At 38.1% G+C, this 23036-nt stretch overlaps 1 protein-coding gene across 25 annotated transcripts in view; it reads left to right on the top strand.

Annotated features, from left to right (window-relative positions):
- Nucleotides 1–23036, top strand: part of REV1 (REV1 DNA directed polymerase) — an 89726-nt gene that overhangs the window by 24626 nt on the left and 42064 nt on the right. For 22 of the 25 annotated variants that reach the window (NR_135651.2, NR_135653.2, NR_135652.2 and 19 more), the window contains exons 2-4: nt 592–655; nt 2955–3081; nt 16073–16241. Coding sequence is in view for 17 of the 25 variants with exons in the window: in XM_047444717.1 (XP_047300673.1) it covers nt 592–655; nt 2955–3081; nt 16073–16241 (360 nt within the window). In the remaining 8 variants the exon portion in view is untranslated. Of the gene's footprint in view, nt 1–591; nt 656–2954; nt 3082–14075; nt 14233–16072; nt 16242–23036 lie in introns of those variants that run through there. The other 3 variants (NR_135650.2, NM_001321455.2, XM_047444724.1) reach the window with 2 other exon arrangements.

Genomic DNA, 23036 nt, shown 5'->3' with positions numbered 1-23036 from the left:
GTTTTATAGTATAGTTAGTTAAGTAAGTGTTGCCTTAAGGAGAATGACAGATTTACTATTATAGTTTATTATCAATGATAATCTTTTCTGCATCATTTTTAATTGACTTCTTCTAGGGCTTTGGCAGAATATGTGAATCAGGCTATGACTGAACTCTTAAGTGTCCAGTATGTAATAGCAAAGACAGAGTTTAAAAGCCACACTATAGGACAACTCATGAAGGGAAATGTTTTGTTAGATTGTCTTATATAATGGTAACAAGTAAAGTAAGCATGGCCATGTTAGTTGGATTTGGTGTTTTATGTAAGTGAATGTTAGGATTGGTGCTCAGGAATGCATAAAGATATTTTTCTATTGAATTTTAAATATAAGAGTTACAATTTAAACATGTGTAGGAGGGTGTTTTATAGACAAATTTCACTTGTAAAGCTGGAGAATGGAGAACTTCAGAAAAAGTTTACTTAATATTGTATACTTTCATCAGTTGGACATTTGAATTTAATTTCTCATTTTCTTGATATTGAAATAAAATATCATTTAGAAATACATTATGTTATAAAATTGACATTTTTTTTTTCCTCCCCAATACAGAAGCTCCACCATGAGGCGAGGTGGATGGAGGAAGCGAGCTGAAAATGATGGCTGGGAAACATGGGTGTGTTTTAAAAGAGTAAAAATAATTATATCGAACTGTCTAGTTATTTTTCATTCTTCTGTTATAATGTGGTTTAAGTTGTTTTCTAAATTGTAAATTACTTTAGACACCACATCTTTGAGTTTTCACAGTGTATTGAAAGCCTTATGATGTTTATAAACTTTATCCCCTAAACTTTACTCTCAGGAATTTTACCCTGAGGAAATAAATATGCCTAGTGCACAATAATTTACTATATGATGATTTTATTGCAGCATTGCTAATAATACAGAAAAACAGGAAAACACATAAATATCCAATAATAAGGGATTGGTCAAATAAGTTATCTGTGTATAGTGGAGCACTGTACAGTCATTATTCAGCTTTATATATCTCAACCTGGAAGGATAACCTTGACTAAAACAATGTGTTACAAAGAAATATTTTGTATGATTATATGTTTGTAAAACCTCTGTGCTCTGAGTTATGGAAATAAGCTTTGAAAACAACACCCCAAAGTTTTAATGAATAGGATTATACCAGTTTTAATTTTCTTCCCCATATTTCCTGTATTTTCTGAAAAGAAACTTCATAGTGAGCATATAATATTTTAATAATCAGCAAAAATAATGCAGTCATTTCCATTTTGGGAAAAAAACATCATGTACTTCTAGCCACCTACACCTTTAATTTAAAGACCTAATAATTGAAATCAAGCTTAATTATATCAAAGTTCAGGAAAAGTATAGTTGAATCCCTAGATCTGTCAAGATGTTTAGCAAAAAAAATTATTTTTTAATATTTATTGTGAGGTGAATGTTATCTAATGAAAGTTAATATTACTATCAAATAGATTGATTAGATCCAGAATTTAGCCACTGGAGCATTCATTGTATTCTTTCCCATGTGTAGGGAGGACTACACTGGTTTATCCAGTTGCCTCATTTTTACCTGAAATAATTCATTTTAAGCCCTCTGTATGTGGGAGATAGTGGAAGCCAGTCTAAAATATGCTCTGAGGTTGGGCGTGGTGGCTCACACCTGTAATCCCAGCACTTTGGGAGGCTCAGGCAGGTGGATCACCTGAGGTCAGGAGTTGGAAACCATCCTGGCCAACATGGTGAAATCCCGTCTCTATTAAAAATACAAAAATTAGCTGGGCATAGTGGTGAGCACCTATAATCCCAGCTACTTGGGAACTGAGGCAGGAGAATTGCTTGAACCTGGGAGGCGGAGTTTGCAGTGAGCTGAGATCGTGCCACTGCACTCCAGCCTGGGCGACAACAGCAAGACCCTGTCAAAAAAATAAAATAAAATATGCTCTGAGACCACTTGTCAAATTTGTAATTGGTTTAAACTTTGGTGTAGCTTGCTCAATTGTGTACATAAGAACAATATTTTGTGATATTATTACTATGTTTTGATATGCAGTTTTGCTCTTGTTGTCCAGGCTGGGGTGCAATAGCACGATCTCAGCTCGTTTGCAACCTCCACCTTCTGGGTTCAAGCGATTCTCCTGCCTCAGCCTCCTGAGTAACTGGGATTACAGGCATGCACCACCACACCCAGCTGATTTTGTATTTTTAGTAGAGACGAGGTTTCACCATGTTGGTCAGGCTGATCTCGAACTCCTGACCTCAGGTGATCTGCCCACCTCAGCCTCCCAAAATGCTGGGATCACAGGTGTGAGCCACTGTGCCCAGCCAGTATTATTATTATTGACTTAGCTTTTTTTAAAAGTAACTTTTATAATCATAAGAATGTAATAAAATTAAAACTTGAGTTGATAGAGGGAAAATTCTTCTTTGACCTATGTGTTTTATGTATTTATATTTATTTATTATAATTTTTTTTTGAGATGGAGTCTTGCTCTGTCACCCAGGCTGGAGTGCAGTGGCGCCATCTCACCTCACTGCAACCTCCACCTCCTGGGTTCAGGCAATTCTCCTGCCTCAGCCTCCCGAGTAGCTGGGATTACAGGCACTTGGCACTGCACCCGGCTAATTTTTGTATTTTTAGTAGAGACGGGGTTTCACCATGTTGGCCAAGCTGGTCTCAAACTCCTGATCTCAGGTGATCCGCCTGCCTCAGCTTCCCAAAGTGCTGGGATTACAGGTGTGAGCCACTGCGCCCGGCCCAACTTTCCTGTTTTATTTATTGCCTTGCCTTATGGTTTATGTTTATGAGGTCATCATTATGTTCTGGTCACTAGCACAGAATAAGGTCCATTTATTTATTTAGTTTTTAAAATTTTTTTTTTTCAAAAAAGGGGGGAGAAAATGTAACCTTTGTGATTGGTTTACCTTTTCTTTAATTCTAGGGTGGGTATATGGCTGCCAAGGTCCAGAAATTGGAGGAACAGTTTCGATCAGATGCTGCTATGCAGAAGGATGGGACTTCATCTACAATTTTTAGTGGAGTTGCCATCTATGTTAATGGATACACAGGTTGAGTACTTTTTACTTAACCCTATTTTGGCATGTATTTTTATTAGGATTGAGAATGATTTGTTTTAAAATTCTATTTTTACTCATTTATTATAGACAAATGATTGTAAGATGAGAAGAAATAAATCATCTGCTTAGATACTTCTTTTTCCTTTCCATGTTGCTTTTACCTGCCATTGTCTTTAACTTTTATCAAAGTACATAGTTTCAAAAAGTCACGTGAGGTTTAAAATGAAAAACGGGAAATTACCACACATGGGTAGTAGGACTTGTAAACTGTGAGCTTCACTGTAGGTCCATTTCATTGGTAAATCTCTAGATGTCATTGTCCATAGGTCCTTTAGGGTGGGGTGGTGTGTGGGTGTGTGTCAGTGTCAGATTTCCTAGAGAAGAATCTTTTACTCTCTTGTCTGTAGAAGAGTGTAAACTGCCAGCATTTGGGTCGCCAAGCAGGGAAGGAAAGGACCTGAATTCTCACAGTTTAGGAAGTAAAATTTCACTTAGTCTCTCTATTCATTTTCTCATTCCTACCTCCTCCCCACCAGCTGTGCCTATTGTCATTGAGTCCGGTATCTGGAAGGGGTAGTGTAGTCTTTATTCTTGGTGAAAGGAAAGAAATGTGCAAATGCTTCTTTGCCTGTTGCACAGTTTCAAGGATGAATTTATCCACACATCCACTTTTGAAGGTGCCTGTGTGTTTATTTCATGACTTTCTCTTTGTTTTACTGGTAACAAGCAGCTTCTTTCCAAGCTTCCATATGGCCAGCTTCAGTTTTATCTTTCGCTGAACTGTAAAGTCAGTTAGCACTTGCCTGTTAGTTACCAGGTTTTCTGCCTAAATTTTTCTCTATTTTCTTGGGGATTCTTCTTCTTATCATTTCATTGTATTTTTTGAAGTGAATGGCTGTAAATATTTGTGTCAGTCTGTTACATATTCCCCTGTCCCCTTCTCAGCTGGCTGATACCTGCTATCTTTCAGGTCTCCATGCCTCGCTTTCCCTTGATAGTTTGACTGTCTTCATACTGATTTAGGTGACTTCTTGTGCTCTTCTGGAGCTATGGCTCCCTGAATGAATCTGCATCTTAGAATTCTTCAGACCTTTCCATAGTTGTCTGTTTACTGGACAAGAGCTGGAGCTACATTTTCATCACTATATCCTTAGTGCCTCTACAGTGACTGGACACAATCATTCAGGACATATTTGTTGAATTGGAGTTAAGTATTAATTAACTGGTACATTTATCTGGTTTAGTAAGAGAAGAGTGTGTTGCTTGTAATTAAGTGTTTTATTAGGCATCATTGATGATGAATTTAGTCCAAGAATGTCATCTCAAAATAAATGCTGGTGCAGCATTGGGAAGTTCACATGCAGAAAGCTTGTAACTTTTCTGTGTAGGAAGGTATCCTGACAAATTCAAGCTCTGTGGACTTCCTGAGATGCTCTATGAAAAATTAAAACGTTAATGAAAACAGGCATTGCTTCTTACATTAGCCAGTCATGGAAGTCTCCAGTTCAAGAGAGCACCCTTATTCACATAGGAGGAAGAAAAAGAGATTCTTTGTGTGAGGGAAGAAAAATGAATATTGCAGTAATCACTTTTTGATTGAGAATCTGGAATTCTAAATCTGCTTTTATCACTAATTTTTGTGTGACTGTAAAACATTTTCTGTTTAGATCTGTTATTATCTCTATCCTTTTCTGCAGGATAGAGATGATAATATTTTTGCTCTTGTTATTAAGATTTCATTATAACTGTACAAATAAAGTTCCATTATGCTGAATTTCACCGAGATATCCAAACTGTGGTGCTGTAAAATAACTTTATTTTTAGAAAAATTAAGTTTTAGTGAATACTTTACCACTTTATAGATAAAACAGCATTAACAATTAGCAAGTAAAAATAACTCTTTAGATGTAATAAGACAAGTAGGAGGTGCTATTTTGTTTTTGATTTAAAAAAATAAGCTTTATTTCACAGTCTTGAGGAGTACTGGTCAGCTATTTTGTAAAATGCCTATATATATATTTTGGTATCATCTTTCTTCTCCATTAGCATGTAAGCACCAAAGGTGCAGACTTTGTCAGTTTTGCTCATTGCTATTGTGAAAGAAAGTTTTCAGGCCAGGCACGGTGGCTCACGCCTGCAATCCCAGCACTTTGGGAGGCCGAGGCGGGCAGATCACAAGGTCAAGAGATCGAGACCATCCTGGCCAACATGGTGAAACCCTGTCTCTACTAAAAATACAAAAATTAGCTGGGCGTGGTGACGTGCGCCTGTAGTCCCAGCTACTCGGGAGGCTGAGGCAGGAGAATCACTTGAACCCGGGAGGCGGAGGTTGAAGTGAGCCGAGATTGCGCCACTGCACTCCAGCCTGGCGATAGAGTGAAAAAAAGAAAATAGAAAGTTCTCTGAAAAGGAATTTGGAGGAAAGAGACTTCATTCCAGTGAACAGTTTGCAAACCTGGGAGATGCAGTTTTCACTGTAAAAGAAGCTGTGGTGTCCCTTCTTGTTGATTCTTAACCATGCTCCCCACAAACTGTAATAATCCAAGTGTTCTTGATTCCTTTAAAGCTCCCAGTTCAGCCATTTGAGCCTCTCATGATTTCGTAGTCCCTATACCTTCCAACCCAGTTAACATTGAACTTGAACTTGGAGGGAAGACCCTCTAATAGTTCACCTGTCAACCTATTCTTCCCTTCACCTGGCCCCAAAAATGTTTTTTGCTTGTTAAGATTGACTTCTTTGCCTTCTATCCTTTTTGTTTGTTTTGTTTGTTTCTTTGTTTTGAGATAGGGTCTCCCTCTGTCACCCAGGCTGTAGTGCAGTGGCACTATCACGGCTCACTGCAGCTTCAACATCCCAGGTTCAAGCCATCCTCTCTCCTCAGGCTCCCAAGTAGCTAGGACCTCAAGTGTGTACCACCATGTCCAGCTGATTTTTTAATTTTTTGTAGAGACAAGGTCTTGCTGTGTTTCCCAGGCTGATCTGAAACTCCTAGGCTCAAGCGATTCTTCTGCCTCAGCCTCCCAAAGTGTGGAGATTACATGTATGGGCCACCATGGCTGGCCTATCCATTTTTTAAATTAATTTTTTTTTAGATAATTGTAGATTCACATGCAGTTGTAAGACATAGCACATAGTGATACTGTGAACCCTTTACCCAGTTTCCCCAAATGGTAATATGTAATAAACTTGCAAACAGTGTCACAACTGGGAAATTGATACTGATACAGTTAATATACAGAACATTTCCACACTACAAAGATCTTTCTTTTTTTTTTTTTGAGACAGAGTCTCACTCTGTCACCCAGGCTGGAGTGCAGTGGCGCGATCTCGGCTCACTGCAAGCTCTGCCTCCCGGGTTCACACCATTCTCCTGCCTCAGCCTCCCGAGTAGCTGGGACTACAGGTGGCCACCACCACGCCTGGCTAATTTTTTGTATTTTTAGTAGAGACGGGGTTTCACCGTGTTAGCCAGTATGGTCTTGATCTCCTGACCTCGTGATCTGCCCACCTTGGCCTCCCAAAGTGCTGGGATTACAGGTGTGAGCCACCGCGCCCGGCCTCCACACTACAAAGATCTTTCATGTTACTCTTTCATAGTCACACCCACTTCTGTTCTCCGCCTTTCCTTAACTCCTGGCAACCACTAATCTGGTCTCCATTTTTATAATTTTGTCATTTCAAGAATGTTATATAAATAAAACATACAGCATATAACCTTTTGGGGCTGGCTTTTTTCACTGAGCATAAATTATCTGTCAGGTCATCAAAATTGTTGCCTTTTTATTGTTCAGTTATATTTCATAGTGTGGATGTACCAGTTTGTTAACCTTTCATCTGTTAGGGACATCACAGTTATTTCTTGGTAGGCTATGAACATTTGTGTATGAGTTTTTGTATGAGTATAAGAAGAGTACAGTTGTTGGTTCCCGTAATAGTTACATCTTTAGTTTTTGTAAGAAACTGCCAAACTGTTACCCAAAGTGGTTGTAGTATTTTATACTCCCACTAGCCTTGTATGAGGGATCAACTTTCTTTGCATCCTTGCCAGCATTCAGTGGTTTTCATTTTATCCATTTTAATAGATGGTGTTGTATCTCTTTGTGATTTTAATTTGCATTTGCCTCGTGGCTAATAATGTTGAACATTCTTTCATGTGTTTATTTCTTATCTTTACATCATCATTGGTGAAACATTTGTTCATATTTTTTTCCTCATTTTCTAATTGGATTTAGTATTTTTTACTGTTTAGTTTTGATATTTCATTATATATTCTAGAGACTACTGCTTTGTCATAAAAGTGGTTTGCAGGTATTTTCTCCCAGTCTGTAGTTTTTCATCCTCTTGAAATGGTCTTTTGCAGAACGTTTTTAATTTTGATGAGATCTGATATGTTGATCTTTCCTTTTATGGATTGTGCTTGCAAGTCTAAGAACTTGTCACTTTGGTGCTAGATCCCAAATGTTTTCTTCTATATTTTTAGATTTTATAGTTTTATGTTTTACATTGAAGTTAATGTTTCATTTTGAGGTTTTACAATTTTTTTTTTTTATTTGTGGATTTCCAGTTGTTGCAACACAGTCAGTTAGGCATATTTTGGTGGATCTGTTTCTGGGTTCTCTGTTCTCTTCCATTGATGTTTGTGTCTGTTCCTTCACCAGTACCACACTATATCAAATACTGTACCTATGTGGTAAGCCTTGATATCAGGTAGAGTGATTGCTTTCACTTGTTTCTTCTTTGTCAAGATAATTCTGGCTATTCTAGGACCTACGCCTCTCTCTCTCTTTTTTTTTTTTTTCTTGAGACAGGGTCTCACTTTGTCACCCAGGCTGGAGTACAGTGGTATGATCTCAGCTTACCGCACCCTCTGCCTCCCTGGCTCAAGCGATTCTTGTACCTCAGCTACCCGAGTAGCTGGGATTACAGGCACATGCCATGATGCCCAGCTCATTTTTTGTGTGTTTTTAGTAGAGATGGGGTTTCGCCATGTTGGCCAGGCTGGTCTCGAACTCCTGACCTCAGGTGATTTGCCTGCCTCGGCCTCCCAGAGTGCTGGGATTACAGGTGTGAGCCAGTGCACCTGACCTATATAAATGTTAAAATAAGTCATTTATCCACAAAATACCTTGCTGGGATTTTGATAGGAATTACATTAAACCTGTAGATCAGTTCGGGGAGAATTGACATCTTTACTATGTTGAGTTTTCTAGTTTACAGACCTTATATCCCATTTTATTTTTCTTTAGTTGATTGAACAGATATATTTTGGATGCTGCTTGTGGGTTAGGAACTATGTTTGAAAAGAGATAGCAGTTGATGGAGAATGTGGATTTTGTGATGAAAAAGTAATCTCTAAGCCTTAGACATCAACAGAGGAGGGTGAGTGCCAACACAGAAGAGGAAACAATTGCCTTTGGGAGTGGGAGTGAATACTTCATAAAGGAATCGAAATGTTTAGCTTGGTCTTAGATAAATAGGCATTTTCCAAATGAAAATGGAGAAAGACATTCTAGTCCTAATTCTGACCTACATTTTCAACCTCATGTTCTTAAATTTTGCTCAACAAGATTACCCTGATATTCTAGATTTGTCTTTTTACTTTTACAGTTCTGTGTTTCTGTTTGTTCTTTTGCCTCTGAGGAAAAACTCCTTCCCTCCTCACTTCTGTGAACTGGAAGTATATTCATTCATTAAGATCCAGATATAGTTAGGTTTTGCCTCCTTCCCTGTCTAAGCCAGTCCATAGTAGTAGTATTTTATATAGAGAGATATATAATTCATAGCATTATTGCTAGAAACATTTATTTTGACACCTGGATTTTGTCTTGTGTTGTTAGGTCTTAATTCTATATTAAGTTCTTTGGCGTTAGGAAGCCTGTTTTATGTATAGTAATCCCTTGCCAAACATGGATTAGAGATAACACCTCAGGGCCTTAAATTTGCAGTTCCTTCTGCTTCCTCAGGTCTTCATCATTCAGATCTCTGCTCAAATGTTACCTTTTTACGGAGACCTTCCCTGACTTCACCTATCTAAAACAGGTGTACTTTGCCCTCCAGTCGCTCTCTAACCCCTTATCCACCTTCCTCTTCATTTATTTGCACCTAAAATGGTATTACTTGCATGACTTATTTTTGTCTCCTCAGTGGAATACAAGTGCTATCACGGGGCACAGACTTGAGTCTTGTTCATTGCCATATCTCCAGTGCCTAGAACCTTGCCTGGCACATTGTAGATACTCAATAAGTATTAGTTGAATGAATAAATAAATAACAGGTTTTGTATTTGTACATCAGAATGTTAAAATATTTTCACTCAGATGCTAAATCAACTCAGTCTTAAGGAATGGGCCACATTTGAGGCCTGCATTGTAATCTGGGAGGTAGGCTCTGGGCATGTTTATTTTTGTGAAAGCTGCCCAGGGGGAGTGAGTGCTTCAGACTTAGTGGACAGTGGTTGCACTTTAGTGGTGTGAGATTGGGACAGTTCATATGGAAAGAGGTGTTCAGGTTATTTTCTACTTCCTTTAGTACATGGGTAAAAGACCAGGTCTTTTGATTTTGGCACTGCTGAAGTTTGTGAAAAAGCAGGTGGAGGGGGGCCCGGACAAGTACTTTAGCACAATTCACAAAATGAAACAAGGGGGAATATGCAAGTGTAACAGACTTATATTTCAAATAAGGATTTGTTTGAAAGCTGACAGCTTACATTGATGTTTTCTAAACATACAAATGTGGTGTTTTAGGAGAGGATTCTCTTTAGTGTTGACAAGTCTAATTTTTTGGAAATAAATGCCTCCCAGATATTATTTTGTATGGATATATAATATCTCTCCTTCCATTTCCTGTGAGACTCTCATCTTGTAGATAAGAGATGGAGGAATTGAACCTCTGACATAGAAGACTTACCATATTAATTTATGCCACCTCCTGTAATTTTGCTAGTACCTGATGTGAAATTTGCACCTAGTTGGTACTCAAAAATTTGTTCCCTAAGCATTTGAAACTTTTCTTCAGTTTTTGTTTGGTTGAGTGTATCCGTGGCTTTTAGTTGATTGTGGTGACTCTGTTGGTAAGTCTGAGGTAGTTAGGGGTGAGAAGAGTCAAGAGAGTAGTATTGCTGCTGCAGAAACTGAGGGACAGGAGTCCAAAGACAGAAGGGTATGCACAGTAAGTTTTCTCTGTTGCCTCATCAATAAGTTATCTTTTCTAATTCATAAGATTGTGAAACTCAAATGAAATAATGAAGATGTTGCCATGGTAGGAGCAAAGGAGGTATAAGCAGCCATTCACCTCACTTCTTTCTGTGATTTATATAGCACAGTCAACAATTAATTAAGTTCTTTGGATATGCAGGAGGAAATGGTGCATATAGTAAATGTTTTCTCAATAGAGATCTAGCTAGGAAAGCTTTTGTGCAAGATTTAAAAATTTTGTTTATAGAATTTGTTTTAACCAGATGAGCAAAACTTTCTATAAGCTGGGCCTACAGACGTGAAAGTGGTCTTCATATGGCTGTTTTGATGTTATATGGTGGCATTTGCTCTTGTGACATTTTACTTGTAGGGCTTTAGGTCTAAACGTGGGCTAAATTGTGGTCCTTGTATATGGCTTTTACTTTTACTGTGCTTTCAATTGTCTGTCACTATGTCTGGTTTTAGTTAAACCTCAAATTTAGTTGCATATAGAATGTTCTGCAAAATAAAACTAATAGTAGGAGTATTGTGGAATTTTATTTATTTGTTTATTTAAGATAAGCTCTGTTGCCCAGGCTAGAGTGCAGTAGACTGATCATAGCTCACTGCAGCCCCAAACTCCTGAGCTCAACGGATCTTCCTGCCTCAGCCTCCTGAGTAGCTGGGACTAGAGGTGTGTGCCACCACACGTAATTTTTGGGTTTTTTTTTTTTTTTTTTTTTTTTTTTTTTTTTTTTTTTTTGAGCTGGAGTTTCACTCTTGTTGCCCAGGCTGGAGTGCAATGGCGGGATCTTGGCTCACTGCAACCTCTGCCACCTGGGTTCCAGTGGTTCTCCTGCCTCAGCCTCCCAAGTAGCTGGAGTTACAGGCGCATGCCACCACATCCAGATAATTTTGTATTTTTAGTAGTGACGGGGTTTCTCCATGTTGGTCAGACTTGGTCTTGAACTCCTGACCTCAGAGGATCCACCCGCTGTGGCCTACCAAAGTGCTGGGATTACAGGTGTGACCCACCGTGCCCAGCCTTTTCTGTTTGTTTTTGTTTTTGTTTTTTTGTGGATTTTTTTTAAAAGACGGATCTTGCTGTGTTGCCTAGGTTGGTCTCAAACTCATGGCCTCAAATGATCCTCCTGCCTCAGCCTCCCAAATCTTTCAAATTACAAGCATGAACCAGGAGGTTGAGGTTACAGTGAGCTATGATAGAGCCATTGCAGTCTAGCCTGGGTGACAGAGCCAGACCCTGTCTCTAAATAAAAAATAAAAAGGCAAAGAACAATGAGGAGAAAAGCACTCACTCTGACATTTCAAAACAGTGACATTGATTGTAAAAATTTGGAGGATAGAATTTCCCTGAATCTAGTTTTGTTTTATTTTGATTTTTTTTTTTTTTTTTTTTTTTTGAGACAGAGCCTTACTCTGTCACCCAGGCTGGAGTGCAGTGGCGTGATCTTGGCTCACTGTAACCTCCGCCTCCCAGGTTCAAGGGATTCTCCTGCCTCAGCCTCCTGAGTAGCTGGGACTACAGGCGCGTGTTACCATGCCCAGCTGATTTTTGTATTTTTAGTAGGGACGGGGTTTCATCATGTTGGCCAGGCTGGTCTCGAACTCCTGACCTTGTGATCCGCCTGCCTTGGCCTCCCACAGTGTTAGGATTATAGGTGTGAGCCGCCATACCTGGCCTGTTTTGATTTTTTATTTTCTGTTTATTCTTTGCTAGTACATCAAGGACATTCTTGAAGGAGTATATACTGAAGGGTGGGCAACAAGAGAAGGATTTGTAGGAGGGATTATGAATTGCAAAATTTAATGTTTTGTGTGAATAGAGAGCAGCTTTAGCTCTAGAGCTCCTTCTTGCTTCCCGGTTTGGGGTAAGAAATGGTAAAAATAATACTGATAATATTGTTAAGAGCTGACACATAATTCTTTTTTTTTTTTTTGAGACAGTCTTGCTCTGTTGCCAGGCTGGAGTGCAGTGGCACAATCTCAGCTCATTGCAACCTCTACCTCCTGGGTTCAAGCGATTCTGCTGCCTCAGCCTCCTGAGTAGCTGGGACTACAGGCACGTGCCACCATGCCCAGCTAATTTTTGTATTTTTAGTAGAGACGGGGTTTCACCATGTTGGCCAGGATGGTCTCGATCTCTTGATCTCGTGATCCCTCCCCCTTGGCCTCCCAGAGTGCTGGGATTACAGGTGTGAGCCACTGCACCTGGCCACATAATTTTTACTATATGCAAGTTACTTTTCTCAGTAATTTATAATTTTTAGCTCTTAATTCCCACAGAAGTCCTTTGAGACACTATTATTATCCCCAGTTTACATGTGAGGAAACTGAGGTTCTGAGAAGTTAAATAACTTGCCTGAAATCCAAGTAACTAGCAAATGATGGAGCCAGGATTTGACCTTAGTCATTCCTGCTTTGGAGTCTGTCCTCTTAATACATTATATGGCGTCTCTAATTTGTGAGTGAGTGAATAAGTGTTTTGAGATTTTAAGTATTTATACCACTTGTACTCCACTTTTGCTGGAGGGTGGATTCTAGGCAGGAGTCTGGGATGCATTGAGGATGTTAATGAATTTAGCAAATACTCACTGAGCACCTGCTTTATGTCAGGGATATGAAAGTGCTTGACAGACAAGGTTCCTGCCTTCAAAGAGCATATGTTCCAGGGGGGAATCTGACAGTAAACAAGTAAACAAACAGACATGGTAATTTCAGATTATCAGTGCTATGGAGAAAGTTAACTGTTACAGTACATTGCAGAGATGGGTTCTGTAGGCAGTGTGTCACACAATGTTTAATGTCATATAGCTTTCATGATGTTGGATATTATCTCCCCCTTTTTTTTTCTTTTCCTTTTTTTTTTTTTTTAGACAGGCTCTGGCTCTGTCAACCAGGCTGGAGTGCAGTGGTGCAACCTCAGCTTACTACAAACTCTGCCTCTCTGGCTCAAGGTATCCACTTCAGACTCCCTAGTAGCTGGGACTGCAGGCACACACCACCACACCTGGTTAATTTTTTTCCATATTTTGTAGAGACAGGGTCTCACTTTGTTGTCCAGGCTGGTCTTGAATTCCTGAGCTCAAGCAATCTGCCCACCTTGGCTTCCCAAAGTGCTGGAATTACAGGTGTGAGCCACTGTGCTTGGCTCCCAATTTTTTTTCTAATTAACCCCACATCTGCTGAATTAAAGGAGAGTGTTAAATACAAAAATGAATTTATTATGCAAATCTGCAGTTATCGTGTATGTTCTTTTGGACTTGTAATAAGGGAGTATGTTCTAGTATTGAAGAAATAGAACCAGAGAGGAATACTGCTGTAAAAATTAAAAAAAAAAAATTCAAAATAGGGTAGCTTCCAGCGACCATGCATGCCAACAGTTAGCATGCCAGCCTGTTGGACCTGACAAAGTGGTCCCTGGCTGCTGTCCATAGTGCACTATTGGCAGGTCTGTTTTTGTTGAAACTTTGGGTCACCATGTGTCAGCCTATGTATATTGTCTTCTGTCATTTTTTTTTTCGTAGAGTCTAGGGCAGGATCCTGAGGTCATATACATTACTCGAAAGGAGTTCTAGTGTGATCATAGTTTATAATAATAGCAGTTTTCATATTGAGTGACCTCTACATGCCAGACTAATTTCATTGTAACAGCTTTGTTTATGGAGAAAGAGGAGAAAGCCTAAAGAAGTTAAACAACTTCTCCAAAGTCACACAACTCAGGAGTGTGAAAGCTAAGATTAAACTCAGATCGGTCTTATTCCATAGTTTATGTGATCTTGCCTTTTAACTAGATTGGTTTTCATGCTTCACTTCACACTGAAGAATATGTAAGAGCTTTCAGAAGTGAACTTCAAAGAGCCCTCTTAACTTCATCCAGTAGAAGGGCAATGTATTTTCCAGTTCCAAATTTCTGGAGTAATTAGTTTTCAAAGAGCAGCTAGTAGACGGGTGAGTACTTTATGAGTATGTATATGGAAAGTTAATGTGTTCTTGACGTGTCTTTTTATTCGGTAAAGGACAGCCGTTTTCTATTTAAGTCATTAAATAGAATTAGTTTAGGAAAGTTACAGATTAACTTGCAAATTAATTTTTTAGATTTCTGTGATTTCATTGGATTTGGTGCCCATATTAATGCATTGTAATGTAGCCTTTAATTTGATACTTCTCACTGTTATTCTATAAGATCAGCCAGGTTCTTTAGTGTTAGAGAAAGAAACTGAACTGTAGATTCCTGACTGGCTAGCTGTTTAATTTCTACTGTTTCACATTAAATCACTCTGATGCTGTAGTTCAGTTTTTAACTTAACCTTAACCCTGAAAACTTCCATTATTAATTTTGAATTCATTTTGTTTAAAAGGATGCTTTTAAATCTCTTTGTATGACACTGCCCAGTTTGGTAGCTGCTAGTAACATGTGTTAAGCACTTGAAATATGGCTATTCTAAATTGAGATGCGTTGTAAATGTAAAATACCCACTGGATTCCAGAGATTTAAGAAGAAAAAAGAAAGTAAATATCTCAGATTTTTTCTGTTGATTACATGTTGAAATAATATTTTGGATATATTGGGTTAAATAAAATTAATTTCACCTTTTTACTGTTTTTAATAAGGTTACTAGAAAATTTTTATTTATGTGGCTTGCATAATATTTTCTACTGAATAGTGCTAATATTTGTAATCAGTAATGTCAAATTTTGTGCTGTAAAATTTAGACAAACCTGGTATGTCTGTATGTGCTGTTAGTTTTTTATCTTCTAGAAACTAAAGCTCACCTAATTATTGTCATAATGAAAATGTTTATTTAAATACTTGGACCTATATTGCTTGGGATTAAGCTTGCGATAAGCCACATGTGGAAACTCCCCCTGGGTACAGCTGTTGTTAGGGGAGGTGTGAGTTAGAGCATTCATTAGGATGATAGGTGAAAGAAAGAGAACAGTGATGATTAATGTGATGCTAGTAATGCAGGCCATAATATGACTTTAGTGAATCAGACATTTCTTCTTAGGGGGAAGCATAAGTCACATTGTGTCTTTAAGATATTTTCTTAAAATATTTCCAATATTTAAGACATATAAGATATTTTCTGTAGTTTTATTAAGAATAAATCATTTGAAACAAAATTGAAAAAAATTGGTGTTTCTTGGTTTGCAGTCTTTTTTGTTTTGCTGGACTTTATTTTTTGGCCTTAATGAAATTTCATATTAGGGAACTGGATAATATTTACTATTTGATTAAGTTTTAAGATATTTTCTTAAATAAAAATAAAAATTATAAAGCTTTCTAGAAGTAAAATCTACTAATAAGCCCTACAGTAAGTCTCCTTTTTAGTAAATATGAGTAACTATTATTTATCTGACTCCTCTTGTATACTCTGGAGGAGTGGAAGGATTAGTCTTTGTAAAATGATTCATAAATGGGTTTATAGTTGTTAATTTTTAAAAACACAATATCAAGGTCATATGCTAAGTATAGTAAAAAATGTAAAAATATTTGTACTGTTATTAGTATTTGATTCATTACTTGAGGTCCCTATTTGCTCTGCTAGGCACTTCTTAGATGTTTTTGTGTTAGTTGGTTGTCTGGCAGCCAGGGAAGGGGGATGTACTAAAAGCAACATAGCTTTCTCACTTTGTGATTTACCTCCCAGCTTTGTTTACTGGCAACACAGCCAAGGAGAAGGTGAACCAATGACATTCTTAAAGTTGACCTATTTAAGGAGTTATTCATTAGGGTTCTACTTCTTACACATAAGACTCTTAATATATTTTAATATAAATTTTGCAGATCCTTCCGCTGAGGAATTGAGAAAACTAATGATGTTGCATGGAGGTCAATACCATGTATATTATTCCAGATCTAAAACAACACATATTATTGCCACAAATCTTCCCAATGCCAAAATTAAAGAATTAAAGGGGGAAAAAGTAATTCGACCAGAATGGATTGTGGAAAGGTAAGTTTAATTTATTAAATTTAATTAATAAATTTTTAAAGTTAGAATACTTTTTATTTATTTATTTTTTTGAGATAGGGTCTCGCTTTGTCGCCCAGGCTAGAGTGCAGTGGCATGATCATGGCTCACTGCAGCCTCAACCTCCCAGGCTCAAGCAGCCCTCCCATCTCAGCTTCCAGAGTAGCTGGGACTACAGGCAGGCGCCACCACACCTGGCTGATTTTTTGTAGAGATGGGTTTCACCATGTTGCCGAGACTGGTCTCAAACTCAAACAGTCCTCCAGCCTTGGCCTCCCAAAGTGCTGGGACTACAACCACTGCGCATGGCCTTTCTATTTCTTTTATAAAATTGTAACTAATATATTGCCTCCTGATTGACAGGGTGAAAAATAATGTCTTAAACAACACTACCGTTTAAGCTCATGTTGATAATACTATAGCCTAGGATTTGGCATCCTAATAAAAGTAGCATGTTAATGTGTTTGCCAGGAATTAGGGGTGATGACTCAGGAAAGTGTCAGGAAGCAGTTATGGGAGAAGGTGGAGCAAGCGTGTTATTCAACAAATATGTGTGCACCTCTTAAAGACTAGGCAGTGTTCTGTGTTCTTGGGAAATAACAATGAACAAAGCAAAGATCCCTTCACTACCTCATGGAGTTTATATTCTGTTGGGAGAGAAAGAATGAGTAATGTATGAGTACATTATACCATGTTGTCTATCACATAGGTTTTTAGCATGGTAATACATCAAGATAATGTGGACCTAGAATGCTAGGAGTAGGGGGAAAGGAGGGAGTACAGTCGCAGTATTATTTACTGTTTTTTAATGATTATATTGTGGTTTCTCTGCTGTTGGTTTGGAAATGATAAGTTGTAAATCAGTGGTGACATTCATATTGACTTCCTAAGTTTAAATATGTCATCTGAAACCTTGGAGATGAGCTAAAACTTAAGTGGTTTATATTTTTAAATGACATGAGGTATGTAATACATATGAGCAATTACTGATTTATAAAAGAAGTAAAATATTAAAGTAGTAATTTTATGTATGGATAGATTATAATCAGTGTATGAGAGATTGCTTATCTTTTTAAGTCAGTTGCTGAATTTTTTTTCTAGTTCTTGCTTTTACTAATTATAACACCCTCCATTAACTGTTCCACAAATTAAGTATTAACTCAGTTCCTTTGTATAGTGTATTTAGCCGCATAAATTCACGGAGAAGCAGCGTGGTGGAAAAGGCTGGGCCTGGGCTCTGGAGACATACTTGGCTTCAGAACTTCCAAACTCGGCAGTTCAGTATCCATATAACCTGGTATAATTTTAGAAACTTTATGCTTGGCCGGGCATGGTGGCTCATGCCTGTAATCCCAGCACTTTGGGAGGCCGAGGTGGGCAGAGACCAGCTTGGCCAACATGGTGAAACCCTGTCTGTACTAAAAATACAATTAGCTGGGAGTGGTGGCTTGTGCCTGTAATCCCGGTTACTTGGGAGGCTGAGGCAGGAGAATCGCGTGAACCCAGGAGATGGGAGGCTCCAGTGAGCTGAGATGGCGCCACTGCACCAGCCTGGGCAACAGAGAAAGACTCCGTCTCAGGAAAAAGAAAAAAAAAAAAAACTTTATGCAGTCACTCAGGACCTTGTTTCCTCATTTGTGAAAGAAGGCTAATATCTGCCTGCTGTGGTTATGTGAGAAATAAAAATCATTTGTCCATACAACCTGGTGCAGTGCCTAGCATGTTGTAGAGGTGTAATATATAAGAAGCTACTGTTACTATTTTATTTTTATTCTGTAACATTAGCAATTATTAGAAAATTCCAAAAATTCAAAAGTACATTACTATCTCTAGAAAGTCAAATATATTGGCTGGGCGCGGTGGCTCACGCCTGTAATCCCAGCACTTTGGGAGGCCAAGGCAGGCAGATCACGAGGTCAAGAGATCGAGAACATCCTGGCCAACTTGGTGAAACCCTGTCTCTGCTAAAAATACAAAATTAGCTGGGCGTGGTGGCGCGCGCCTGTAGTCCCAGCTACCCGGGAGGCTGAGGCAGGAGAATCGCTTGAACCTGGGAGGCAGAGGTTGCAGTAGACAAAGGTTACAATGAGCTGAGATCACGCCACTGCACTCCAGCCTGGCGACAAAGTGAGACTCTGTCTAAAAAAAAAAAAAAGTCAAATAAATAACATTTTACATATTAAGGATTTTTTAAACCTGGAGGGATAAAGTCAAAGGCTCGTCCCTATAACATCCCACTGATTCCTTCCTTTGCACTGTGGTCTCATGACCTAACCACTGTCTATCAATGATATAGTATTGATTAAAATGGCTTTTAGGTATGTGTCTCTTCAAAGGACTTGGTCTTAGTATATGAAGTTGGATCACTCAGAGTTGAGCTGTGTTGTCACTAGAGCTAGAGTTTTTATCTGGGGGCAATAGTTAGGCTTTGGAGGGAATGGGGAATTTCTGTGGACAGGAGGAGAGTTGAGGGGAAAGCGATCTTGCTGGGGGGAATTGATTTACTTAGAAAAATGGTGTTTTCCGGCCGGGTGCGATAGCTCATGCATGTAATCCCCCCACTTTGGGAGGCCAAGGTGGGTGGATCACGAGGTCAGGAGTTCAAGACCAGCCTGGCCAATATGGTGAAAGCCTGTCTCTACTAAAAATACAAAAATTAGCCAGGCATGGTGTTGGGTGCCTGTAATCCCAGCTACTCAGGAGGCTGAGGCAGGAGAATTGCTTGAACCTGGGAGGTGGAGGTTGCAGTGAGCCGAGATCACGCCAGTACACTCCAGCCTGGGTGGTAGAGCGAGACTGTCTCAAAAAAAAGAAAAAGAAAAGAAAATGCTATTTTCCATTACAGTTGCTTGTTTTGCACGTGTTCTTTTTGCCAGATGCGCCTAGGGAGATCATAAGATAGAAAAAGCAACTTAGATAGTTAAAATTCACTTTAATGGATTTTATCTTAGTCTGGACTGAGGTTTAATCATTTGTCTTTAAATAATTAAGAGTGATTTTGGACAGCATGATTATATATCCTATGGGCCTCATTTTGTATTTGAGGAGACAGGGCCAGTGGGGCTCACTGACTTGCCCAAGAACAGAGTAGGTTTTAGAGTCCAGGTGTTCTGAATCCTGTTTGTGTCCTCTTTTTACCATTTAATTAAGCTTGTTATAGATGGCCCATGTGGAAATGGATCAGTGTTGGCATATATCTTAAATGCCAGGAGTCCATTATGTCATTGTAACAGGGAATCCTTTTGGTTAAATCATGGCACTGTTTTTATTCACACTCTAATCCCTGGTTGATCTCTTCTTAGCTGTGTTTTAATGAGATTTTATTATACTTAAAAATTTTAACATGTATTAGCTATTTAATAAACGTTACATACTCTTCTGAATAATTAGTTTTTGTTTTTATTCGAGCAGTTTGAAAAGGAACTGCCACTTGTAAGTATGTGGGGTGTTGCTTTAATTTCAGTTCCCTGATGTCTGTATGTCAGTAGATCTGAGTTAATGTAGGCATGGTTATAGGGCCCTGACTTTGAAGAGGCAAGGGAATCCTTTCATGAGGAGCCTGTGTACATTAAAGTGTGAAATTATTTTACTAAAACCTTTGTTTTGTAAATCTCACACTTGTACATAGTGTATTAAAAGTAATGGTTTAAAAAATTTTTGTCACAGTCTTTGTCTTGAGACAATTTTACCTTGAAATTTGAAATGTGGAATAGATGAGAAGCTGCTATGACGTACCCCACTGGCCCACCAAACCTGAGGAGTGTCATGGAGCATAATTTAAAAATATTGTCCTAAGTTGCTACAGATTGTTCTTGTTTTTGTTGTTCTTGATTTTGTGTTGATCCTTGTAGATTGAGAACCTTGTAGCGTGGGTTTTTTATATTTGTATATCCCGTGATTAGATGGTCACATAGATCTGTTGGGAGTTGAGACAGAATGATAATTTATTGTTCTGGTTCATGCCAGCTCAATGGGATCTACTAGTAGGACTTTCAGTTTATCTTTTCTTTCTAAACTCCCAAACCATATACGTTTGTCATGTGCTTACATATGAGTCAAAACTTTGGTTTCTAATTACATTCAGTGTTTAAATATTAGAGTGCTTATGCAACTCATTTAAATAAAAGTTGATTGCAATTTTATCTCTCATGAGTTTTTTTTGCCATTCCTTGTGTTTTTTTTTTTTGTTCCTAAACGCAGAGGCTGTAGGACAAAGCAAGAGTAAGACTTCCCAAAATAGATGAATATTTCACTTGCTATGACTATGTTTTGATTCGTTGTATAGAATGTAAACTCTTTCATGTATATATCAGAATATAGTTTCAATGTACATGAAAAAACTCAGTGTATAAGGAAACCGTGTAGTATTATCTTTTGGATAAAGATGGATTTTTTTATTATCCTCTCCTTTTGGTTTTGAAAGAATAGTAGAAAATGTCAGTACAGTTCCTTTGCGCTTAGAACAAGAGGGGAAATAGTAAATGTGAGAAATTAATCCCAGAGAGATTTTTAAAAAGGTCTTATACAAATATGCTTTCAGATAATGTTTCTGTCTATATATCTATAGATAGATAAATGGGCAAGCAGGGGTAGTTAGGAGTATACAACTGATAGATAGTGGTTTAGGCTTCAAATTATAACTGACATTACTTCACTAACATTACTGTAGTGCATTGGGCTTTAATTCTTTTTATTGAGTATCTCTGAGGATATCTGATTTGAGACTTGCAGTATTTAAATTGGCTGTCTAATTTTGTAGCAGTCTCCATGGACTGACTTATGTAAGCCTAAGAATTCTGTGGGTGGCCACATGGCTCTTGTTAGGAGCTGGATAAGGCCTGACACCCTTGTATATGATCAGTGCTGACCATAGAGAGTACCTGTAGAGTCTGCATCACTCCAGCATGCTGTCAGTAGGGCAGGAAAAGCGAGAATGATCATAGGGCGTTTTGTTCCTTGCACTTTTGGTTTTACCTGAGATGTGCAGCTGGCACAGTGGGTGTAGTTTCACTCTCTACTTGTCTCTTAGTTATAGCTATCTATGATAAAGGATGGAAAGCTAAGGTTAGGATTTTATTTCAGGTATTAAGTAGCTGTACTTCTTTTGGTGGGGGAAGCAAGTGAGTTTGATATACATAATACCACAGAACAAAGATTTATAGTTAGGCAATTGAGACCAACTATTAAAGGAAGAAAAGGGCTGGGCGCGGTGGCTCACACCTGTAATCCCAGCACTTTGGGAGGCAGAGGCGGGTGGATCACGAGGTCAGGAGATCGAGACCATCCTGGCTAACACGGTGAAACCCCGTCTCTACTAAAAAAATACAAAAAATTAGCCGGGCGTGGTGGCAGGCGCCTGTAGTCCCAGCTACTCGGGAAGCTGAGGCAGGAGAATGGCGTGAAGCCGAGATCGCGCCACTGCACTCCAGCCTGGGCGACAGAGCGAGACTCCGTCTCAAAAAAAAAAAAGGAAGAAAAGTTGGTTTGAGGAAGAATAAAGTAAAAAATAGTCGAATTTTAGGGTTTCGATTCTAATATTTGAATGTAACCTGAAATTTTGAATGTATTTTGAATGTAACCTGAATTTTGGTAAAACATTTAGCCTGGTCATAAATCCATTTGGTTACATGTCTTGCGACTAGTATAGTATGTTCTTTACCATCATAATTTAATAGTTATAGCATTTGATATAGGTTAAGGTACTTTAGGTAGAATTGTTAAATATATATTGACATAATTATATAAAGGACATACTCTGTATCATATATAGTTCCGTTTTTAGAATCTGTTAGTATGTTTTCCTGTATTCCAAGTTGTTGACTCAGTTATTTTTAATTAGTATTCTGTAAGCCAATTCAGTCATTTCTTAAATGATTATTTTTTAAAAAGTTTTGTGTGACACCATTTAAGAAAATGAAAATGTCAAGTCTTGGATTTATGAGACAATAAGAAACATATTTTTATCATGTTATTTATCAGTCTTTTTCTAAATAACTGAGGGATGATTCCTTGGTATATATTTTAGGTTTAAAATCCAGAGGTTGTTTTGAAATATTTTCTAATATTAAAGTAGCTTGTTTTGAAATTTGGATGATAGCATAAGTATATTGATTGGTTATTTTTAAATTTGAAGTGAAATGATAATTTTAAAGGTAGAGTAGCCATATATAACTCAGTTTATTAGCAAGAAAATGTCAGTTTTAGATACTGCAATCAAATTAGTTTTAGTTCTGAAGTACAAAAGGAAGCAGACATTTGGGAACTTCAGTTACAGTGCTAGTACCACCTAGCGTTAGAACACTGGTGTTCCCCTGGATTTGAGTGGTGTTGTGTGATATGCTGTGAGGATGTACATGGTAGTTTTGGCCCTTGTAGAGTTCATATCTTCAAATGGCCTTGGCTCTTAACCATTCTTGTATACATAAAAATAGTATAAATTATTACTCTTGAAGTTGAGATTCTTTATTTTGTCCTATATTTTTATTTTACAGTTTCTGACATGAATTTGGAAATTGAGCATCCTTATTCAGTTTATTTATCTTGGAAAACCTTAATAGATGAGATTTTGATGAAGTCTTGATGATTCTCTGTTAACTGTTGACAGGGTGGTAAATACTAAAGTCATGAGGTTTAAAATATTGACTAGTTCAGCTCTGTGCTTGCAGTTTTTCCCCACTCTAAGATCATATTGTATTAGGACCACTAAAACCGAGCAAGAAGGAATAAACTAGGAAAACAGATGACCTGTTGTTGGTGAAATACTGTATCTTTAAGGAC

The sequence above is a fragment of the Homo sapiens genome, chromosome 2 (assembly GCF_000001405.40).
Source record: "Homo sapiens chromosome 2, GRCh38.p14 Primary Assembly".
Classification (NCBI taxonomy): domain Eukaryota; kingdom Metazoa; phylum Chordata; class Mammalia; order Primates; family Hominidae; genus Homo; species Homo sapiens.
The sequence above is the reverse complement of the archived record's forward strand: the minus strand, read 5'-3'. Positions and strand labels throughout refer to the sequence as shown.